Genomic DNA, 18,952 nt, shown 5'->3' with positions numbered 1-18,952 from the left:
AGTCAGGTACAGTGACCAACTGTCCGAGTTTGTTCGTTAGGGACTAACAGGTTTCCCAGGATGAGAGATTTTCAATGCTAAAACCAGAAAGTCCTGGGAAAGTTGGGATGGGTTTGTCTCCCTAGTCACAGCTTCAGAAACTGCTAGAGCCAAAAGAGCCACACATTGGTGTCACTGAAAAATGATTTGGGGAGCTGAAAAATATTCATGTTGTGTTTTGTTTTCTTCCATTTTCTTATTAACATCTCTCTTGGAACATTCCAAGCTGTTTCTGTTGCACTACTAAGGAATGGAATTTTTTGCCTCTTTTCAGCCAGCAGTTAAGGGAAGCAGAAAGACTCCACGGGCCAGGCTGGGTGTCAGCATCAGGAAACCATTAGAAGGCAAAGAGGGAAGTAAAACCCAGTGGGAGAGGCCCTTCTTGTCCAGAGGGATCTCCTACAGAAACCTTACCTACTGGAAAATTTTCTTTTTTAAAAATTAAAGATTTGATCCTTTTACAAGGTATGCAACCTAAAATTTCATTCATCTTTAGCCTCACTTTCAGTTTTCAAGCTCTGTTGTCATGACAACATCATGAACTGAGTGGTTCAACCTCCTTAATGTTTGTTGGTGTTTGCTATGTTATTTAAAACCGCAAGGTTTTCTTAAAAAAAAAAAAACTTGATATTTTATCTCTCAATTGCCTCAGAAATTCTATGGACTTATGATGCTTTTTTTTGACATGAACACCAGAGCCATATTCAACACATAAGTAATCTCAAGAATTTTATCATAGGCCTTATCCTCATATATAGAGGTTATGTGCAAAACTATACCATGTTTTCACAAGGCTGTACAGATCAATGCATTCTGTGCAGTATGTTATACACTGCCCTATCTTTTTTCACTGGTGTGATTGTCAGAAAGGTCAATAAAAAAATCTTAAAATGTGAAAATGCTTATACAGCTAACAACAGCATGCAATCAGAAACTGAAGAATATGAGAGTTAGGCTCAGGGAAGTGGCTGAAGCCTGTAATCCCAGCAATTTGGGAGGCTGAGGCGGGAGGATCACTTGAGCCCAGGAGTTCAACACTAGTCTGGGCAATGTAGGGAGACCTCCTCTCCACAAAAACTAAACAAAATTATCTGGGTGTCCTGGCACATGCCTGTGGCCCCAGCTACTTGTGGAACTGAGGTGGAAGGAGTGCTTGGGCCAGGGAAGTCAAGGCTGAAGTAAGCTATGCACTCAAACCTGGGCAACAGACCCTGTCTCACACACACACACACACACACACACACACACACACACACGAACATGAGAGATAAAAGCATACTTAAGACATGAATGATTAGTGTAGTTTCCAATATTGGGTGTTACTGAGGAAAAAAATATATTTAATACTTGAATTACAATTCAGACAGGTTTCTTGAATACTATACTAGCTATACTGAATGAATGGCTAAACTCAGACTCCAGTGCCTTTAGGCTAATGAGATGCATTTTTTTTTTCTTTCTGGAATTAGCATGTGAATGCACATGCTTTAGCATCTGAATGCCTTTGTGTTTGTTGAATGAATCAGTTTATTCTTTAGAATGTTTGGAAGAAAATATGCTTGAGAAATTAACCAATATTATTTTTTTCTTTTTATTTCTTCTACTTCTCCCTTCCTTCAGGCTATGTGTTGGTCTGATCATATGAAAAATGTGGCAGAAAGAGAACTATCCTACGTATCTAGGTAGGCTTTCTCATCGGCCACCTAGAAATAAGATTCTGATGCCCCAAATATGGCACAGAAGTTGCAGAGCTGTGCTAAGCAGCACAATGGACCACTCTGCTATAAAACAAGATGGGTGGACAATTGATATCCAGAGGGGCCCACCTTGATCCTGGGTGCTGAAACTTTGGCCCAACTGGTGAGAGGTAGGAGTTGGAATGGGTCCTAGACTTAGGAAGCAAAACTCCCCCCAAAAACTACATTTGATTGCTGGCAAGATGGCTGAATAGGAACAGCTCTGGTCTGCAGCTCCCAGAGAGATCGCGCAGAAGGTGGGTGATTTCTGCATTTCCAACTGAGGTACCTGGTTCATCTCATTAGGACGGGTTGGACAGTGGGTGCAACCCACGGAGGGCGAGCCCAAGCAAGCAGGGTGGGGCGTTGCCTCACCTGGGAAGCACAAGGGGTCGGGGGATTTCCAGTTCCTAGCCAAGAGAAGCCGTGAGAGACTGTACTGGGAGGAACAGTGCACTCTGGCCCAGATACTGCGCTTTTCCCATGGTCTTCACAACCGGCAAACCAGGAGATTCCCTCCCGTGCCTGGCCCGGTGGGTCCCACCTCCACGGCACCCAGCAAGCTAAGATCCACTGGCTTGAAATTCTCCCTGCTAGCACCGCAGTCTGAGGTTGGCCTGGGATGCTGGAGCTTGGTGGGGGGAGGGGCGTCCACCATTGCTGAGGCTTGAATAGGTGGTTTTACCCTCACAGTGTAAACAAAGCCACGGGGAAGTTTGAACTGGGCGGAGTCCACCACAGCTCAGCAAGTCCGCTGCAGCCAGACTGACTCTCTAGACAGGGCATCTCTGAAAAAACGACAGCAGCCCCAGTCAGGGACTTACAGATAAAACCCTCATCTCCCTGGGACAGAGCACCTGGGGGAAGGGGCGGCTGTGGGCACAGCTTCAGCGGACTTAAGCTCTACTGCCTGACAGCTCTTAAGAGAGCAGCGGATCTCCCAGCACAGCGTTCAAGCTCTGGTAAGGGACAGGCTGCCTCCTCAAATGGAGCCCTGACCCCTGTGTATCCTGACTGGGAGACACCTCCCAGTAGGGGCCGACAGACACCTCATACAGGAGAGCTCTTGCTGGCATCTGGCAGGTGCCCCTCTGGGATGAAGCTTCCAGAGGACGGAACAGGCAGCAATCTTTGCTGTTCTGCAGCTCCGCTGGTGATACCCAGGAAAACAGGGTCTGGAGTGGACCTCCAGCAAACTCCAGCAGACCTGCAGAAGAGGAGCCTGTTAGAAGGAAAACTAACTAACAGAAAGAAATAGTAGCAACATCGACAAAAAGGACGTCCACTCAGAAATCCCATCTGAATGTCACCAACATCAAAGACCAAAGCTAGAAAAATCCACAAAGATAGGGAGAAACCAGCGCTAAAAGGCTGAAAACTCCAAAAATCAGAAGGCCTCTTCTCCTCCAAAGGATCACAACTCCTCGCCAGCAAGGGAACAAAACTGGTGGAGAATGAGTTTGACGAATTGACAGTAGTAGCTTCAGAAGGTGGGTAATAACAAACTCCTCTGAGCTGAAGAAGCATGTTCTAACCCAATGCAAAGAAGCTAAGAACGTTGAAAAAAAGTTAGAGGAATTGCTAACTAGAATAACAAGTTTAGAGAAGAACATAAATGATCTGATGGAGCTGAAAAACACAGCCAAGAACTTCGGGAAGCATACACAAGTATCAACAGCCAAATCGATCAAGCGGAAGAAAGCATATCAGAGATTGAAGATCAACTCAATGAAATAACACAAGAAGGCAAGAGTAGAGAAAAAAGAGTGAAAAGAAATGAACAAAGCCTCCAAGAGATATGGGACTATATATGAAAAGATCAAATCTACTTTTGATTGGTGTACCTGAAAGTGACGGGGAGAATGGAACCAAGGTGGAAAACACACTTCAGGATATTATCCAGGAGAACTTCCCCAACCTAACAAGGCAGGCCAACATACAAATTCAGGAAATACAGAGAACAACACAAAGATATTCCTCGAGAAGAGCAACCCCAAGACACATAATCGTCAGATTCACCAAGGTTGAAATGAAGGAAAAAATGTTAAGTGCATCCAGAGAGAAAGGCTGGGTTCATAACCCTTAAAGATAGAAACATTTCCCCTCTGTAGGTGGCTCCTAAAACCCTGGACATTTTACATACTGGAGTCAGATTCAAAAATAAACTATTTCCTTATATACCTGCCTCCTTTTTGAAATAACGTTCCTTATTTTTCTTATCACCAGATATGGTTGCTGTTTTTTTCCCTCAATTTGATCATTTGTTTTCCCTCTGGGACATAAAAGTTGTGATGAGGACTGGAAGTGGGATCTATAAACTGACTAGCACAGAGCCTAGCACTTGACATCCATTCAGTCAGTGCAAAGACAGCTGCATTCTTTCATCAAAAGACCAATACATTTCTATAATACATATGCAAAGAAAGTTTTAACTTTTAAGCCTTTTTTTCACAGCTTGAGAAGACAATATAAATTTTCTTTTTAAAATATAAATAAGAGAAGAACTATAGCTTAAACAGGAAAGACTTTTAAAATCCCACGTAACAAGAATGGTGGTGTAAATAATTATCATGGACACAGTTCTGTGGGTCAAGAGTCTGGGCACAGCAATTGCTCAACTGGGTCTTCTACTCAGGGTTTAGCAGAGCTGAAATCAAGGCATCAGCAGGACAGGGCTCATCTGGAGGCTCTTGAGGAGATTCTGCTTTCCAGCGCATTCAGTTTGTTGGCAGAATTCAGTTTCTTTTTTTTCTTTTTTTTTTTTTTGAGACATTGTCTTGCTCTGTCGCCCAGGCTGGAGTGCGGTGGCACGATCTCGGCTCACTGCAAGCTCCGCCTCCCACGTTCACGCCATTCTCCCGCCTCAGACTCCTGAGTAACTGGGACTACAGGTGCCCGCTGCCATGCCCGGCTAATTTTTTGTATTTTTAATAGAGATGGGGTTTCACCGTGTTAGCTAGGATGATCTCAATCTCCTGACCTCATGATCTGCCTGCCTCGGCCTCCCAAAGTGTTGGGATTACAGGCGTGAGCCACTGCACCCTGCCAGAATTCAGTTTCTTGAGGTTATAGGACTGAGGTTGCCATTTCCTTGACATGGTTACCTTAATCTTCAAGTTAACAGCAGCACTTTTAATCCTTTTCATCTTGGAATATCTGACTTTATCTTCTACTACTAGCTGGAAAAATATCTCTGCTTTTAAGAGCTCACGTGATTCCATTGGGCCTACTTGGATAAGCCAATATAACCTTCCATTTTAGGTCAGCTGATTAGTAACCTTAATTACACCTGTCAAGTCCATTCTGCCATGTAAAGTAACATATTCACAGGAGTGACTCCAGAGGGAGAAGGTCATGAGGCCCAACATTCTGCCTACCACAGATGGGTTTGGAATATATTTCATAGGTGGAAGTGGAAAGATTGGCTTCAAAAAGTATTTAACATCATATCTAATGAGACATTTATCCCTTATCTAGAAACTTCTTCTTTTTTCTTTTCTTTTCTTTTTTTTTTTTGAGACAGGATCTCAGTCTGTTGCCCAGGCTGGAGTAAAGTGGTATGATCATGATCACGGCTCACTGTAGCCTCAACCTGCTGGGCTCAAGCGATTCTCCCATCTCAGCCTCCCAAGTTGCTGGGACCACAGGTACCCATCACCATGCCTGGCTATTTAAAAATTTTTTTGTGTGGAAATAGGGCCTCCTTCTTTTGCCCAGGCTGGCGCTGAACTCCTAGGCTCAAGCAATCCTCCCACTTCAGCCTCTCAGAGTATTGGGGTTACAGGCATGAGCCACCACACCTGGCCTAGAAGCTTCTTTGAGGCCCCAATCATTTCCTTGAGTTCTCCCCTTCATCAGTCCCCAAATATCCTACTTGAGATCTTTGGGTGTGCAGAAAGAAGAGAAAGACAACTATCACTCAAGAAAAAATTTGAATTTGGGAATAAGAATTGTAGTTTGTGAGGCAAAAAACATGATGAAATGAAGCAGGAATTTGTGAGTGTGGAGGTCACTTTTCCTGTGGCTCTCCTTCTGCCTGGGTGTGCTGGCATGAAGGAAGCAGAAGAAATGAGTAAAGAGAAAAATAATCTGGGACTTGGGGTCATACATGATATGTGAGGAGGAGAAACCAGAAGCATTTCATATTAAAAAAGGTAAAACAGCAAAGAAGATCCAGAAAGCCCTAAGCAGGAAGGGAACAAATAAAGGCAGAGACAATGTTAAGGCCACACAATATCATTGACTAACTAACTGCTTTAGGAAAAAAAAATTATTAATATGTGTACATTTTAAAAAGAAACCATTTTCATAGAAGACATAATCTCACTACTTAGAATCAACCCTGTAATTTCCTAATGATAGTCAAGTATTTACCAAGTTCCTTGTCAAGTACGTTATATGCATATATACATACAAACATTGGAGGGAGGGGCTGTTATTATTTTTTATTTTATTTTATTTGTTTTTGAGACGGAGTTTTGCTCTTGTAGCCCAGGCTGGAATGCAGTGGCGTGATCTCGGCTCACTGCAACCTCCATCTCCCGGGTTCGAGTGATTCTCTTGCCTCAGCCTCCCAAGTAGTTTGGATTACAGGCACCTGCCACCACGCGTGGCTAATTTTTTTTTTTTTTTTTTTTTTTTTTTTGTATTTTTAGTAGAGACGGGGTTTCACCATGTTGGGCAGGCTGGTTTCAAACATCTGACCTCAGGTGATCTGCCCGCCTTGGCCTTCCAAAGTGCTGGGATTGCAAGCATGAGCCACCACGCCCGGCTGAGGATGTTATTTTTAGAAGGAAAAGGCCACATTGAAAACTGAGTGGACAGCTTGATAAATCTAAGATAGGAAAATTTTGCTGAACCAAAGGACCTTTTGGAGTGTTCTATTTTTTCTCACAAGCCCAGGACCTCTGCAAAAAACATCCAAAACTACTATAGAAAATGCACATTTTATTCTACTGTTTCTTCCAGCAGATGTGGATTTTTAGCGAGGAGCAATTTCACGTTCTTGGTCCAAATTTTAAAACTGCTAGGTCACTGTGTAAGAAACAGTTGACTAGGTTTTGCTTTCCATTGCCTTGGACCAGCTAAAACAATTGTGCCCTCTAGCCTATGAAGTCTGTACTGCAAAGGCCATTTCAACAGTGTTTGCTTCAGGTTTATCCTCAATTTTGGTTCTTGAAATCAAAAGTCATAAAAAAATATGGTAGAGATTCACAAAGACCTCTCCAGTTTTCTCTTTCAGTTGTAAATAACAGAATAACTAAAATGAAAACAGCTTAAACAGTGAAGACTTTTAAAACCCCACATAACAAGAATTGTGTAATAATGTAATGGTGTAAGTAAAGCAATTAATCTCACTTGGGTGCATAAACTGACTATTGTGAGGTTCATTTACTTCCTTAGCTCTACCAGAAAAACAAAGTAACTATACTACACTTTTGTCTTCATATTTTAAAAACCTTACCTATTATAGGAAAATATTCCCTAAAATATTGCTAAGTAGGAAGGTATTGATCATTTCCTAATAAAGGCACACGACTAAGCTTATACTGATAAAGTCCGGAAGTTGCCTGCTTGACCTTTATTAATCACCTGGCATTTAGGATACTGATTTTTTTAAAGCTACATTTTAGTCAGTTAAAGCCACCTCAGCATCTTTAAAGAATGCTTTGATTTGATCTATTTCTACTTTTTCTTTGAGGAAATCAAGCTGGGAGTTCTGAGAGCACATTCTGTTTGCTTATTTGTTCCTTTTATCCCTTTCTGTCCTCTCTGCATGCTAGGGCACACCTCACCTTGAAAAGAACTCATCAGCCGCCCTCAAGATGGGAATTGCAATGCCTTCATCTTGAGCCACTTTTAACAGAGTTTCATTTTTTTTCTGCTTTGATTTTGAATAGTGCCTATGTTTGAACACACTAAACACATTTTGGCCAAGTTTCCTTCATAGAGTTGGAATTCAGATTGGTTGTCAGGTTATTTAAAATAACTTTCTGTCTGGATTGGATCACTGTTAATTGCTCTGATCAACTGCAGTACATGGTTAAGGTAAAAAAAAAATATTGAGAAGAGACCCCCAGTCAATCTGATCTTACTTCATAGACACAGACAAATGATGAATTTATGTTAGTTAGGGAGGCCAAGGAAGGAAGAGGAGACATCATTAAAGAGTAAATGTTTCCAGCATTAGTTTCTGGGTCATTAAGCCCTAATGATTGATCTTATTTGGTTATTTTAAAGGCTACTGGAAACTAAAATGGAAACAGTTCAGAATACTTCCTTTGTATACAGAAGATTTTGTTCATGGCAACAGCTATGTGTGCCTAAACATTTTGTGTCACACAAACTCCTGCATTTGACATTTCTATCAGAGAGAACAAATAAAAATCATCCTAGAGCTTTCAAACACTCAAGCCATGTTGGGGCTTTGAAAGATCTTGTCATTTCAGAAGTGAAGAAATGGGGATGCTCTCAAGAGCAAGGGCAGCTTAATGGATTCCCCCAAAGCCCCAAAAGCACCTTCTCATGACTTAATTACTCTAAAAATTTCTATTTTTTACATTGCCTAAAATTTTCATCAATAAGAAATCATTTGATTTATTAATACCAAAACCTCATATGAAGATAGTAAACACCTTTGGGATGGTTAAGGTAATCTCACCATTCACAAATGTATGTATATTATCAGGTGAGATTGATTTAATAAATCTTTGGGACAATAAAGGGTATTTTTCTTAATTAAAAATTACAATGGAAAATTCAGTATCAGTCATGTTTAGGAGTTCTTCCTCTTCTCTAGTGTTATGTAAGGGTCCCAAGCAGCTTGTGCTATCCAAAAACCTTGGGGAGGAGAGCCTGGTATGAGCTCATCATAGTTGCACTGAGATCCTCATTATTTGTACTTATTACATGGCACTCTGCTGATTGTGGCACCTGCCCCTCTGCACCGAAGTCAGCCACTGGGTCCTCTGAGGAGGCTCTAAAGACTGAGGCATTCTGTGCTCAGCAAACAGGCATTCTTGCACCAGTCCCATCAGACATCCTTCTGAGTTTCTGTGTAGGGGAGGGCACAAGTGTCAACTACAAGAACCTACCACCCCTTTACTTCTTCTAGGCTCTGGAAAGCGTCCATACTTAGAACTGGGTTCTCTCCTCTCTTTCAATCAACAGAGCCCTCCCTATCCACACAATCCTGCGGTTAGAGAGAGGGAGGGAGAGAGAGAGAGAGACAGAGAGACAGAGACACAGAAAGATAGAGACACAGAGAGAGGGACAGAAACTTTCGAAAACAAAGACTTAACCTTCTGAGCAAAGACAGCTTCAGACCTCCAGGATACCTGCCCTTTTGAGAAAAGAAAGATGAAAGCCCCTATTACGGAGAGCTGTTCTGTTCAAGTTATCTATTGCTATGCCATGAAAGGTAGCTGGGCCTGGGGTCATCTTGAAGGCCCTTCCACCATTTATAGCTGGTAGTTGTACTGGGGAGACTCCAGCAGCTAGGGCTGGAACAGTTGAGTTCCTTGGGTATCTCTCCCTCTATGTTGCCCCCCAACATGGTCTCAAGGAAACCTCAGGGCAGCTGGACTTCTTACTGAGTGGCCAAAGGCTCCCAGAGTGAGTAGAGTGAGTATCCCAGGGGCACCAGCCAAGGCTGCCTGGTCTTTTCTAGCCTAGCCAATAAGGGACTCAGTGTCACTTCCAGTGTACTCTATTCATTGAGGCAGTCACGAAGATCCACTCAGTTTCAAGAGGAGGGGCCATGGACTTTACCTCTTGGTGGGAGAAGTGTGAAAGAATTTGTGGACGTGTTTTAAAACCACCACAAGAGCATATAAGAAAGAAGGAGGAGGAGGAGGAGGAGGAAGTGAAGGAGGAAGAGGAGGATGAGGAAGTGAAGGAGGAAGAGGGAGAGGAGGAGGAGGAGGAGAAGAAATTACTTGTTTTTCAGTTAGATTCTTTTTCTCCTCTATGTCCACCCATGACCACCAGGCTGCTGAGAACTATCTCCCTTGCTTGGAAATCCTCTGTAAAGCTCTCCTGCTCTCACTTTTGGTCCCACTGTCCCAAATCCTGATCATCACTCTCTGCCATGCCCCTTTAGACTAAAGGCAGGTTGGGTTCTGTTTCTGATCACTCTCTGCAGTTCTGTGTACCGGCACCTATGGGCAAGTGATACTATTTCAGTCCTGGCCAGACCATGGGGGAAACCAGGTCCCAGCCGGGGGCAAGAAACAGCTCCAGTTTTCTGGGAGGAAGACTGGGAGGTGTTAGAGGCACTGAGGTTTGAAAAAGAGAGCTGTGCATATGCAAATGGCATTCTTTAATTCAGCAGTTCACTGGGCTTTCTGCTCTGTGGCCAAGAGTTGGAGAAATGTCTCTGTGCTTCACGTCTTTCCTCTTGGAATCCCATGGTTTCCCTCACAGGACACAGAGTACAGACTGATTCTGTTGGTGCTGACGGTAGTTCCATATGGATTCCCTGTGAGCCTCCATTCTCACTTATAAAATGGACAGCCTTGCAGTATTAGGCATCTAAAACTCTTACTGTGATATGGGTCTCGCCCACATCAATTCTGTAGCAGTGCTTTTTCTTTAGCAAGATGTATCCTAAGCTCTGACCTACCCACTTACCAAAGAAATGGAATCATAAACCCACCGTATATTGGATTTTACTTATAATAAGTGAGGATCTTACCACATTAACACTGATTCAGAATCAACTTGCAGAACAGATTCTTTCTGACACTTCTAGTGAACTGGTTTTTTTTTTGTTTTAACAATTCACAAAATTTTGGCAGATTTTATTCATTTTGGATTTTAAAAATATTATTTTAACAAAATTCCTCCTCAAATAAGTGCTTATTCTTTACACACAATTCAGTGAACTACTTCTTTCAGCCTCAATAGGAAAAAAATCATGAAAGCAGTTCCATTTCTTCTTCTGCATATAATGAATCTTTTCACATTTCTTGTAGTTAATGTCTTAAAAAATAAAAATGAATGACAGCCTGAAACATGCTTCTCATATTCATCTGTGATGTTGTGTGGTTAATAGTCCAGCCTCACATTTGCATGGGACCAGCTGTCAAAGATGGCACTGCAGGGAATCCACTATAATTTTAAAACATGTTGCAAAGTCACATATGTCCATAAATCTACATTCACTAGAATGCTTATGGGGACATATTATCATCAGATTTGAAAATAATCCTTTATTGCTTTCATTTTGAACTTCACCCTTTACTTGACTCAAATTATCTTTATCAGGTAATGAATGAGGGGCTTCATCATGAGTGAAGAAGTTTCCAGGAGCAATCTCATTTGCAAAACTTCTTAAAATTCTTGTCAGAGTCCATTTTGGACATAGGGCAATTTTCTCTGTTCCTTGTAAGAAAAATCTCTTTGACCTAGCTAATATCTCTGATATGTTACAGTTAACATGTGAGGAGAACAACAGTCAGAACCATAAATCCATTTAATAAGTGCAGATTAAGAAATTTGAAATCCACATATTGCCAACCATAAAAATATAGTGTCCTCATCACACACATTGTAAAGATGGGCATACCCTACAAAGCTGTCTCTATCTGCTTAATAAAAACCATCTTTTACTTATATATAAAACATAGCCCTGAAGTTTGTTAAAAGGGAAGAAATGGAATTCAAGTCAAATACTTTCTTATTAGTTCCTAAAAAGTCAATGCAGTTACTATTAATTTATTTAATGATTTAAGATTAGGACAATATAAGTCATAGCCTTTAATCTTGCATATTCCTAAGAATAAGTATAAAATCTTAAATAAGTATTCATTCTCAAAAGAAAGTATAAAATAATATTTAGATGTGATTTAAGCCATCCTGCAGCACACCCACCCCCATTCCAAACCTTGGAAGAGTTTCCCAATATACAAAAAATGAGGTGACTAAAATTTTCAGACCTCTCTCCAAAATCATCCCACCAAATTAAATAGGTATGTATGTGGGGCAACATAATATTTCATATTTCTCCACAAATATATCCAATACTAAAATGAAAGCTAAATCCCAGCAAGGCATATAATTATCTATATCAGACACAGCGAAGTATAACATCCCATTAAAATAAAGAGATCTTTTTATTCTGAAGTTAGTTATGGCTCCTTATGTTAAACTTTCATCATATATCTGTGGAAGTAAATATATGAATACATATATAATCATAAATAATTTCTTCACATGCAAAGATCATTTATCTTAAAAAGTGAAAATAAGTTTCTTTTGTAGTTGAAAAAAAAGCTAAGTTAAGGGAACTTGAGCATGTTCCTTAAACCTCTCTGAGCCTCCATCACCTCATCTGCAAAGTGGGCAGAAAAATACTTTCATGTGGGAGAATTAGACAGGATGCAGGAGTAAGTGGTCAGTTTATTATTTCTTTAACTGGGATAGATGGGTCTTTTTCTCCAGTCCTGACCTTGATTAATCTCTGTGTAGAATAAGTTAACAGCACCCTCTTCTCATTCGCTATCTTTCCATCCCAGATCCCCCTCAGAGCCTGCCATTCCCCTACCCTGCACCTCAGTACTTGTCCAGTTCTGCCAAGGGGCCCCTAAGGGATGTTAGAGAAAACTCCATGTCTGGAATTGCAGATGTGTGGTTCCAGCATCAGAGGAGCCCCACCTCAGCCTTACAGATGGCTCAGCATGCTACTGAGTTCACTCACCATCAGGGGCAATTTCACTCACACCCCTCTAGATTTCTTCTATCCTCACTCTCCATCTCTTTCTCAGCAGATCTTGCCTCTTGTGACACTAGGAAAATGGAGACCTGGCCGGGCGCGGTAGCTCACGACTGTAATCCCAGCACTTTGGGAGGCCAAGGCGGGTGGATCACGAGGTCAGGAGTTCGAGACCAGCCTGGCCACCCCCTCTCTACTAAAAATACAAAAATTAGCTGGGCGTGGTGGTAGGCGCCTGTAATCCCAGCTACTCGTGAGGCTGAGGCAGAGAATTGCTTGAACCCAGGAGACGGAGGTTGCAGTGAGCCGAGATCGCATCACTGCACTCCAGCCTGGGTGACAGAGCGAGACTCTGTCTCAAAAAAAAAAAGAAAAAAAAAAAAGAAAAGAAAAATGGAAACCTAAAGGCAGGTGTTCAACTTCTCACCTCCTCCCTGGCTCCCATCCTAGCTCTGTTCTTCATTTCTTTGATTTTATCTGTTCTCTAATCAGTGTTTGATCTTTTCTTCTTCATTGATTTCTCCTCAGCTTATAAATGTAGCCAAGCTCAGCCAATCCAAAAAGAGTTCCCATCAACCCTGCTTTCTTCTCTAGCCATCTTCAACTCTCAATCTTTTTCCTCTTTCACTGTCAGCATTCTTGAGTGTCCTGGACAATCTTCATTTCCATCCCGTATGGGTTTCATTCCAACTATGTTATTGGTGCTGCTATGATTAACAATGAGTGCATTGATGAATTCAATTTCTAGGAATGGAACTAGGCACTGAGGATACAGTGGTGAACAAAGCAGACATAATTTCTGTCTTCATGGAACATAAAATATAGTGGGGTGTCAGTTCTGATCCTTTGAGAAACAGTTCCCAAAGCAGAATTAGATGTGTAAGAGATTTATAGAGGGAAATGCCTGTGAAGAATAAAGGAACTGGAGTAGGCAAGGAGAGCCCTTAGATCACAGTGCAGGTGGGGTACCTGTGAAGAGAGAGAAGGAAGGAAGGGTTGGATGGGAAGGGCCACAGGCCACAGTTCAGCTTTAAGAAAATCTCACATGTGCTGATAGAGCATCCTGGAGCAAAAGTTGCCTGTTACTGTTGCTATAGAATGAATGTTTGTCTGCCCTAAGTGCCTATGTTGAAATCCTATAGGCTTCATGCTCTTATAAAAGAGACTCTGGAGAATTCCCTTGCCTCTCTGCCATGTGGGGACACACTGAAACGAGAGCCATCTATGTGCCAAAAAGTGGGCTTGCCAGACACCAAATTTGCTGGAGGCTTGATCTTGGACTCCCAGCCGTCAGAACTGTGAGAAATAACTTTCTGTTGTTGAGAAGCCACCCAGCCTATGGTATTTTGTTATAGAAGCCCAAACAGACTGAGGGAGAAAACTGGCACTGAGAAGTGAGTGTGTTGTAATAAATACCTAAAAATGTGGAAGTGGCTTTGGAATTGGATACTGGGTAGAGGCTGGAAGAGTTTTGAGATGTGTGCTAGACAAAGCCTACATTTCAATGAGCAGATATTTAAAGGCAATTCTGATGATGGCTCAGAAAGAGAGGAAAGCTGCAGGGAAGGCCTCAATCTTCTCAGAGAAGATTGATCTAAGTGGTCATGAACAGAATGTTGTTAGAAATATGGACAGTAAAGCCCATTCTGATGAAGTCTCAGGTGGAAAAAAGGAACATGCTATTGAACAACGGAGGAAAGGCAATCCTTGTTATAAAGTGGCAAATAACATGGAGACATGTTCATGTCTTGTGTTTTGTGTTTTGTAGAAGGCACAGCTGGTCCTAAGAGGCTGCACATATAGGCATCCATGCGATCTGGGAGAGGGATCCTGGAGCACCTGTGATGAAGTTCTAAACCACCTGCCTGTGCAGTTTACTTCTGCCCTCTGGTCTTGCTTCTGGCTGCAGATTTTAAGCAGCACTGGCCAATTTTGCCCCATGGGATGCCATGCTCTATTAATTTTCTCCACAACTCCCTGGAGTCAAGCATCCTTGACTGCCCCTTGGTCCTTGTTGGTCAATACAATAATTGTGGGCTTCTGGCTTTTAGTGGCTAAGCACCACTTCTTGGCTCTATTTGTTCACTTCTTCATTTTGAGTCTAGCTCTATGAACGCCTCTCTTACCATCGTCCCTGGCCTGCAGAGGAGGCCACCACTGAATATTCGAGCATTGCTGCTGCCCCTCTCACCAGTACATTCCTGATTGTCATAGTGAATGGCATATTCTCTGGGCCTCTCCATGGAATATCATCCTGTGGTAAGTCTTCTGGTTTCGTATACTATACCCACTCCAGTATCCCACTTTCTACAGCTTTATTACTCCCTCCTCCATCATGCACAGGGCAACTCAGTCATTTCCATTTTGCCTAGCATAGGGTATTATTTTTTCCAGGCTTCTAAGAGCCACCCTAGCTAAAAGTTTGTCCTATTCTTTTGAGTCCTTGCCAGGGTGGTGAATCTCATGTCCTGAGGAAGTGACACAAATTACTGAATTTCTACTTATCCAGTTTTATGTTCTATAATAACTCCCTTTATCAAGCACTCTTGAAATGCACTCCCAAGGGTATTTTCCCAGCTCTTGTATACACATGTTGGTTAATTTTTGCAACTCCTTCAGCAGATATCTCTTTCCTTCATTTTCAGGTTCAGCATGTCCTCAGCTGGATTATGTTATCCTGACAGCCAGGATGTAGGCAGAATTAACCCCTGAAGAGGGTACCTATTACTTTATGGGGGAAAGACCTTTGCAGTATCTTTCCTCTGAGGCTGCTAGCTCTTCCTCTGGAGAGGTAGGCCCCCCTCTCTAATCTCAGAGGTTTCAGGGGCCTCTGCAGAGGTAAAACTTACAGAAGCATTTCCTAGATGTCCTCATTTCGTTTCAGAAACCAGGTTTTCCCAACCTCAGCCCTTACCTTAACAAATAGACCTGCTTTGGCTGAGCATTTAAGTATCTCTGGAGTTAGGCAACCTCATCTCTCAGACCTTAATTTTGCTCCTCAGCTCTGATTGTTCTACCACTGCAGGAGATAAGGGCCCTTTTGTAAACCATTTAAACTCACACTTAGCCTTTAACTGTTTGTTAACTCTCACTTCTCATTCTCCCCCTGTGGGGCTTCAATACAGCTTAGTAATAACCGGTCATTAACCAAAGTAGGCTTTCCTTGACCCATATTTTTCAACTGCTTTAATCATCTCACTGACAAGGGCATTTTCCTTCACTGGATGTTTCCTGTGTCATCACCTTCCCAGTGTCATCCCAAACCACCTTTCCAACCTCATCTCCTGCCACCCGCCTTCTCTCATAAGCACTTTAGTCTCACAGTTCTGTCAGCATTTTTTGGGCTGCATCCAGTCTATACGGCTGTGGGGTTGTCTTGGCCTACAGTTTTTCATTGTTCTTCACCTCCTATCATCCATCATTGTTCAATGGTCAGCCCAGGCATTGTCTACTGGAAGAGTCACAGAGAGAACATGCATTTGCTTTCCCAGCTCTACCACTTACTGCTGCAAGAATCCAGCAGCTTTCTCAGGATGTAAACCCCTTTGTGAATGCTCAAACTGCAGGCACGGTGAGTTTCCAGGTAAGCCCCAGAGTGCAGATCCAGGCTATGGTAAGGGTGTATTCAGGTGCCCAGATTGGGTACAAATGGGAGATGGATTGGGGTTGGGGCTTTTAAACATGCATCCAAGGATTTTAAAGGCCAAACTACCTCTGTAGGCCTTGGGAAGCCTCAATCAGTCAGAAGAGGTGTGATAGTGACTGCTTGAGTGGTGAGATGTGAAGCAGATGAACCAGTGGCACAAAGCCGGTCTGTTGTCAAGGTAAGGGCTGAGGTTGGGAAAACCTTGTTTCTAAAATGAAATGAGGACATCTGGGAAATGCTTCTGTGAGTTTTACGTCTGCAGAGGTAAAGTCTTAACAGTGGTTAAGAACCAGAATGGATCTAGATTCAAATCCTGACTCTGCTACTCAGCTGAATGACTGTGCTCAGTTCACTTAAGCTCTCTGAACTTCAGTGTCTTCATGGGAAACCTGGAAACTAAGCCTGGATGACACATGTAGTAAGGGCTGACTGATAGAGTGCATAGAAATTACCTGGCACTCTGTTCACAACATCCTGGAAAAAATGAAGAAATAACACTGACCAGTCTACATTCCCGTGCCAGGTGAGGGGCTCTCTTTAGGATAGAGAACCTGCCATAGGTGGCAAAAGGGATCTTCTGAGTGGATTCTAGGCCTGATGAGCCCAGCTGGCCTTCTTTGTCTCTAAAGCTCCTTGTTCTTTCTTTTTTCCTGACCCTTGATCTCCCTCTGTGCACTGGGTGCTCTGTTTCTGCCCAGGATGCTGAGCACAGTTCTCCCAGCTTGTGCCCAATGCAGAATCTCATTTATTCCCTTACTTCATCAACAGTTACCTGCTCTGCCTCCCTTTGATTAGGGCCTTGCTGGGCATCCAACTAATTAATCTGGTGAAGCAATTCAGGGCAGGGCATTAATGGCTGATAATGCTGCATTCCTTCTAGGGACTCTGCTGTGCTTTAGTAAAAGTCTCCTTAACTTGATGCAAAGAAGTGACTAATGGGTTAATTTCAGGACACTTTTAAGGTCAACACTAGGACAACAACCTACATACCATCCAGCTGGATGACCAAATAGGAGGGTGAGCAGAAGAAGTGTGGCTGAGAACAGAGCTCTATTGTCCCTTAAATCTGGTTCATGCTGCAGAGGCAACAGAGCTACTTCAAGGAGCATACCAAGCTGAACTGTGCAGGGGAGAGGGCCCAGACAAGTGCATTTTTGAGCCACTGCTTCGATCCGGGACTCAGCGTGTCTCACCTGGCCTAGCATAGAAGGCTCTTCTCTGGTCTCCCTGCCTCCTTGATGGGTCTCTCTCTCTCTAGTCTCTTTTCCATACCATTGCTGGGAGACCTTTAAAAGATCCATTCTGGAAATGTCATCCCCTTGCTCAAAATCTTTTGTTGGGTTCCCATTACCTTCGTGGTACAGCCTGAACTCCTCAGCCTGACATGCAAACTCCTCCTGCCAGGCTCCCTTCTCCAGGCTTATCTCCTGCCACCCACGGCACACACCCACACTCCAGACTGATCAAATGACTTACTGTTCCCGAAAGTCCTGAAGACCTAGCATTTGCAGTTCCCAGCATGTACAGTATCTTCCTCCTCACCCTGTGCCCTGACACCCCTGGCACCCCGCCTGTCATCTCCTCATTCTCCCTGTCTTTGATTGTCCCATGGACTCCTGTCTATTTTCCAAGATTCATCTCTTATCACATGCTGGTGATAGTGCCACTCTCCTTTCACTCTCACTGCACTCTGGCAAAGTGAGCCATTTTCTCTTTTGCCTACCAAGCATACCTCTGTTATAAAATGTATGCTTTAAAAAATATGTTTTACCCCACATTAGGTAAAAGTTCTTTGAGCATTTGGAAACTGCCCTGTTTGTTCGAATCCTCAGCTTCAGAGATTCAAGAAAATCAATGTGTTCTGAACAAAATGAATATGGCCATGAATAACCAGAATTTAATTTTCATTTTGTATCCATCACACATAATTTATTTAATCTCTCATACCTCCATTTCCTTTTTTGGCAAAAGAAAATCAAATACCTACCTCTGAGGATGGAAGTGAGATTTTATGTATGTGAAGTGTCCTGTCTCAGGCTGCACACAGAATTGGCTGTCACATTGGGCTGCTGCTGCCACTTTTACTCACCTCGGTGTATATCTGGGTTGAGTTGCAGTACCTTTGAAGATACACCTCAAGATTCAAGGGAGAAATCAAGAAACTCAGGGAAAACCAGAATTTGCCAGTGTCTTCTGTGTGCCTAGCCTTATGCCTTGGCATTTTACACACTGTTCCCAAGGCCCTTTCTGGGTGTCCGATTTGCTATCTTGCCTTACTGCATAGAGTTGGAGGGTAATAGTGGTTGCTCAATAAATATTTTAATTTAAATGAATGGGGTAGAATCTTTCCTATGTTGATTAGTAGTTTACAGAGGACCCTTTTCTTCCACTGTACCTTCTTAGTAATTAAGTTACAGATTAGATTTTCCTTGAACAACTACTATTATGCTGACAGATTTATATGCTGTTACTGTTGATTGATTGAAGACTAGTCCTTCAGACTGGAATAAATGAGTTTGGCCCCCAGTTTTTGTCAGCTTTGTGAGTAAAGAGTTCAAAGAAATAAATCTCTACTGCTGTTGACATTTTCTCTATTAACAAGTAGAGGGAGTGAAAGAGACAGAGAGGGAGATTACTATATGTGTACAGATACATACGGAGATAAATATCCCTCCCATTTGATAGCTATTCAAAGCACCCTTCTAGCCTGGTGTCCTGGAATAGCCTATTTGTTAAATGCTAGAAGAATCAAGTAACTCTACAAGATTCAAATTGCTACTGAATGTCAGTCTTAGAAATATATTGTCTGCTCAAATA

The 18,952-nt window shown here is 42.5% G+C and overlaps 4 annotated features.

The window, feature by feature from the left end:
• Nucleotides 1,854-2,486: an enhancer, noted in NCBI's record as "H3K27ac-H3K4me1 hESC enhancer chr5:108021579-108022211 (GRCh37/hg19 assembly coordinates)". NCBI's record gives its function as "activates a minimal SCP1, AML or CMV promoter by ChIP-STARR-seq in primed H9 embryonic stem cells {active_cell/tissue: H9 hESC(primed)}" and the evidence as "EXISTENCE:reporter gene assay evidence [ECO:0000049][PMID:30033119]".
• Nucleotides 2,487-3,120: an enhancer, noted in NCBI's record as "H3K27ac-H3K4me1 hESC enhancer chr5:108020945-108021578 (GRCh37/hg19 assembly coordinates)". NCBI's record gives its function as "activates a minimal SCP1, AML or CMV promoter by ChIP-STARR-seq in naive and primed H9 embryonic stem cells {active_cell/tissue: H9 hESC(naive and primed)}" and the evidence as "EXISTENCE:reporter gene assay evidence [ECO:0000049][PMID:30033119]".
• Nucleotides 6,469-6,969: an enhancer, noted in NCBI's record as "H3K27ac hESC enhancer chr5:108017096-108017596 (GRCh37/hg19 assembly coordinates)". NCBI's record gives its function as "activates a minimal SCP1, AML or CMV promoter by ChIP-STARR-seq in naive H9 embryonic stem cells {active_cell/tissue: H9 hESC(naive)}" and the evidence as "EXISTENCE:reporter gene assay evidence [ECO:0000049][PMID:30033119]".
• Nucleotides 15,193-16,192: an enhancer, noted in NCBI's record as "OCT4-NANOG hESC enhancer chr5:108007873-108008872 (GRCh37/hg19 assembly coordinates)". NCBI's record gives its function as "activates a minimal SCP1, AML or CMV promoter by ChIP-STARR-seq in naive H9 embryonic stem cells {active_cell/tissue: H9 hESC(naive)}" and the evidence as "EXISTENCE:reporter gene assay evidence [ECO:0000049][PMID:30033119]".

The sequence above is a fragment of the Homo sapiens genome, chromosome 5 (assembly GCF_000001405.40).
Source record: "Homo sapiens chromosome 5, GRCh38.p14 Primary Assembly".
Classification (NCBI taxonomy): domain Eukaryota; kingdom Metazoa; phylum Chordata; class Mammalia; order Primates; family Hominidae; genus Homo; species Homo sapiens.
Note: the sequence above shows the minus strand (reverse complement) of the source record. Positions and strands in the feature narration are given on the sequence as shown.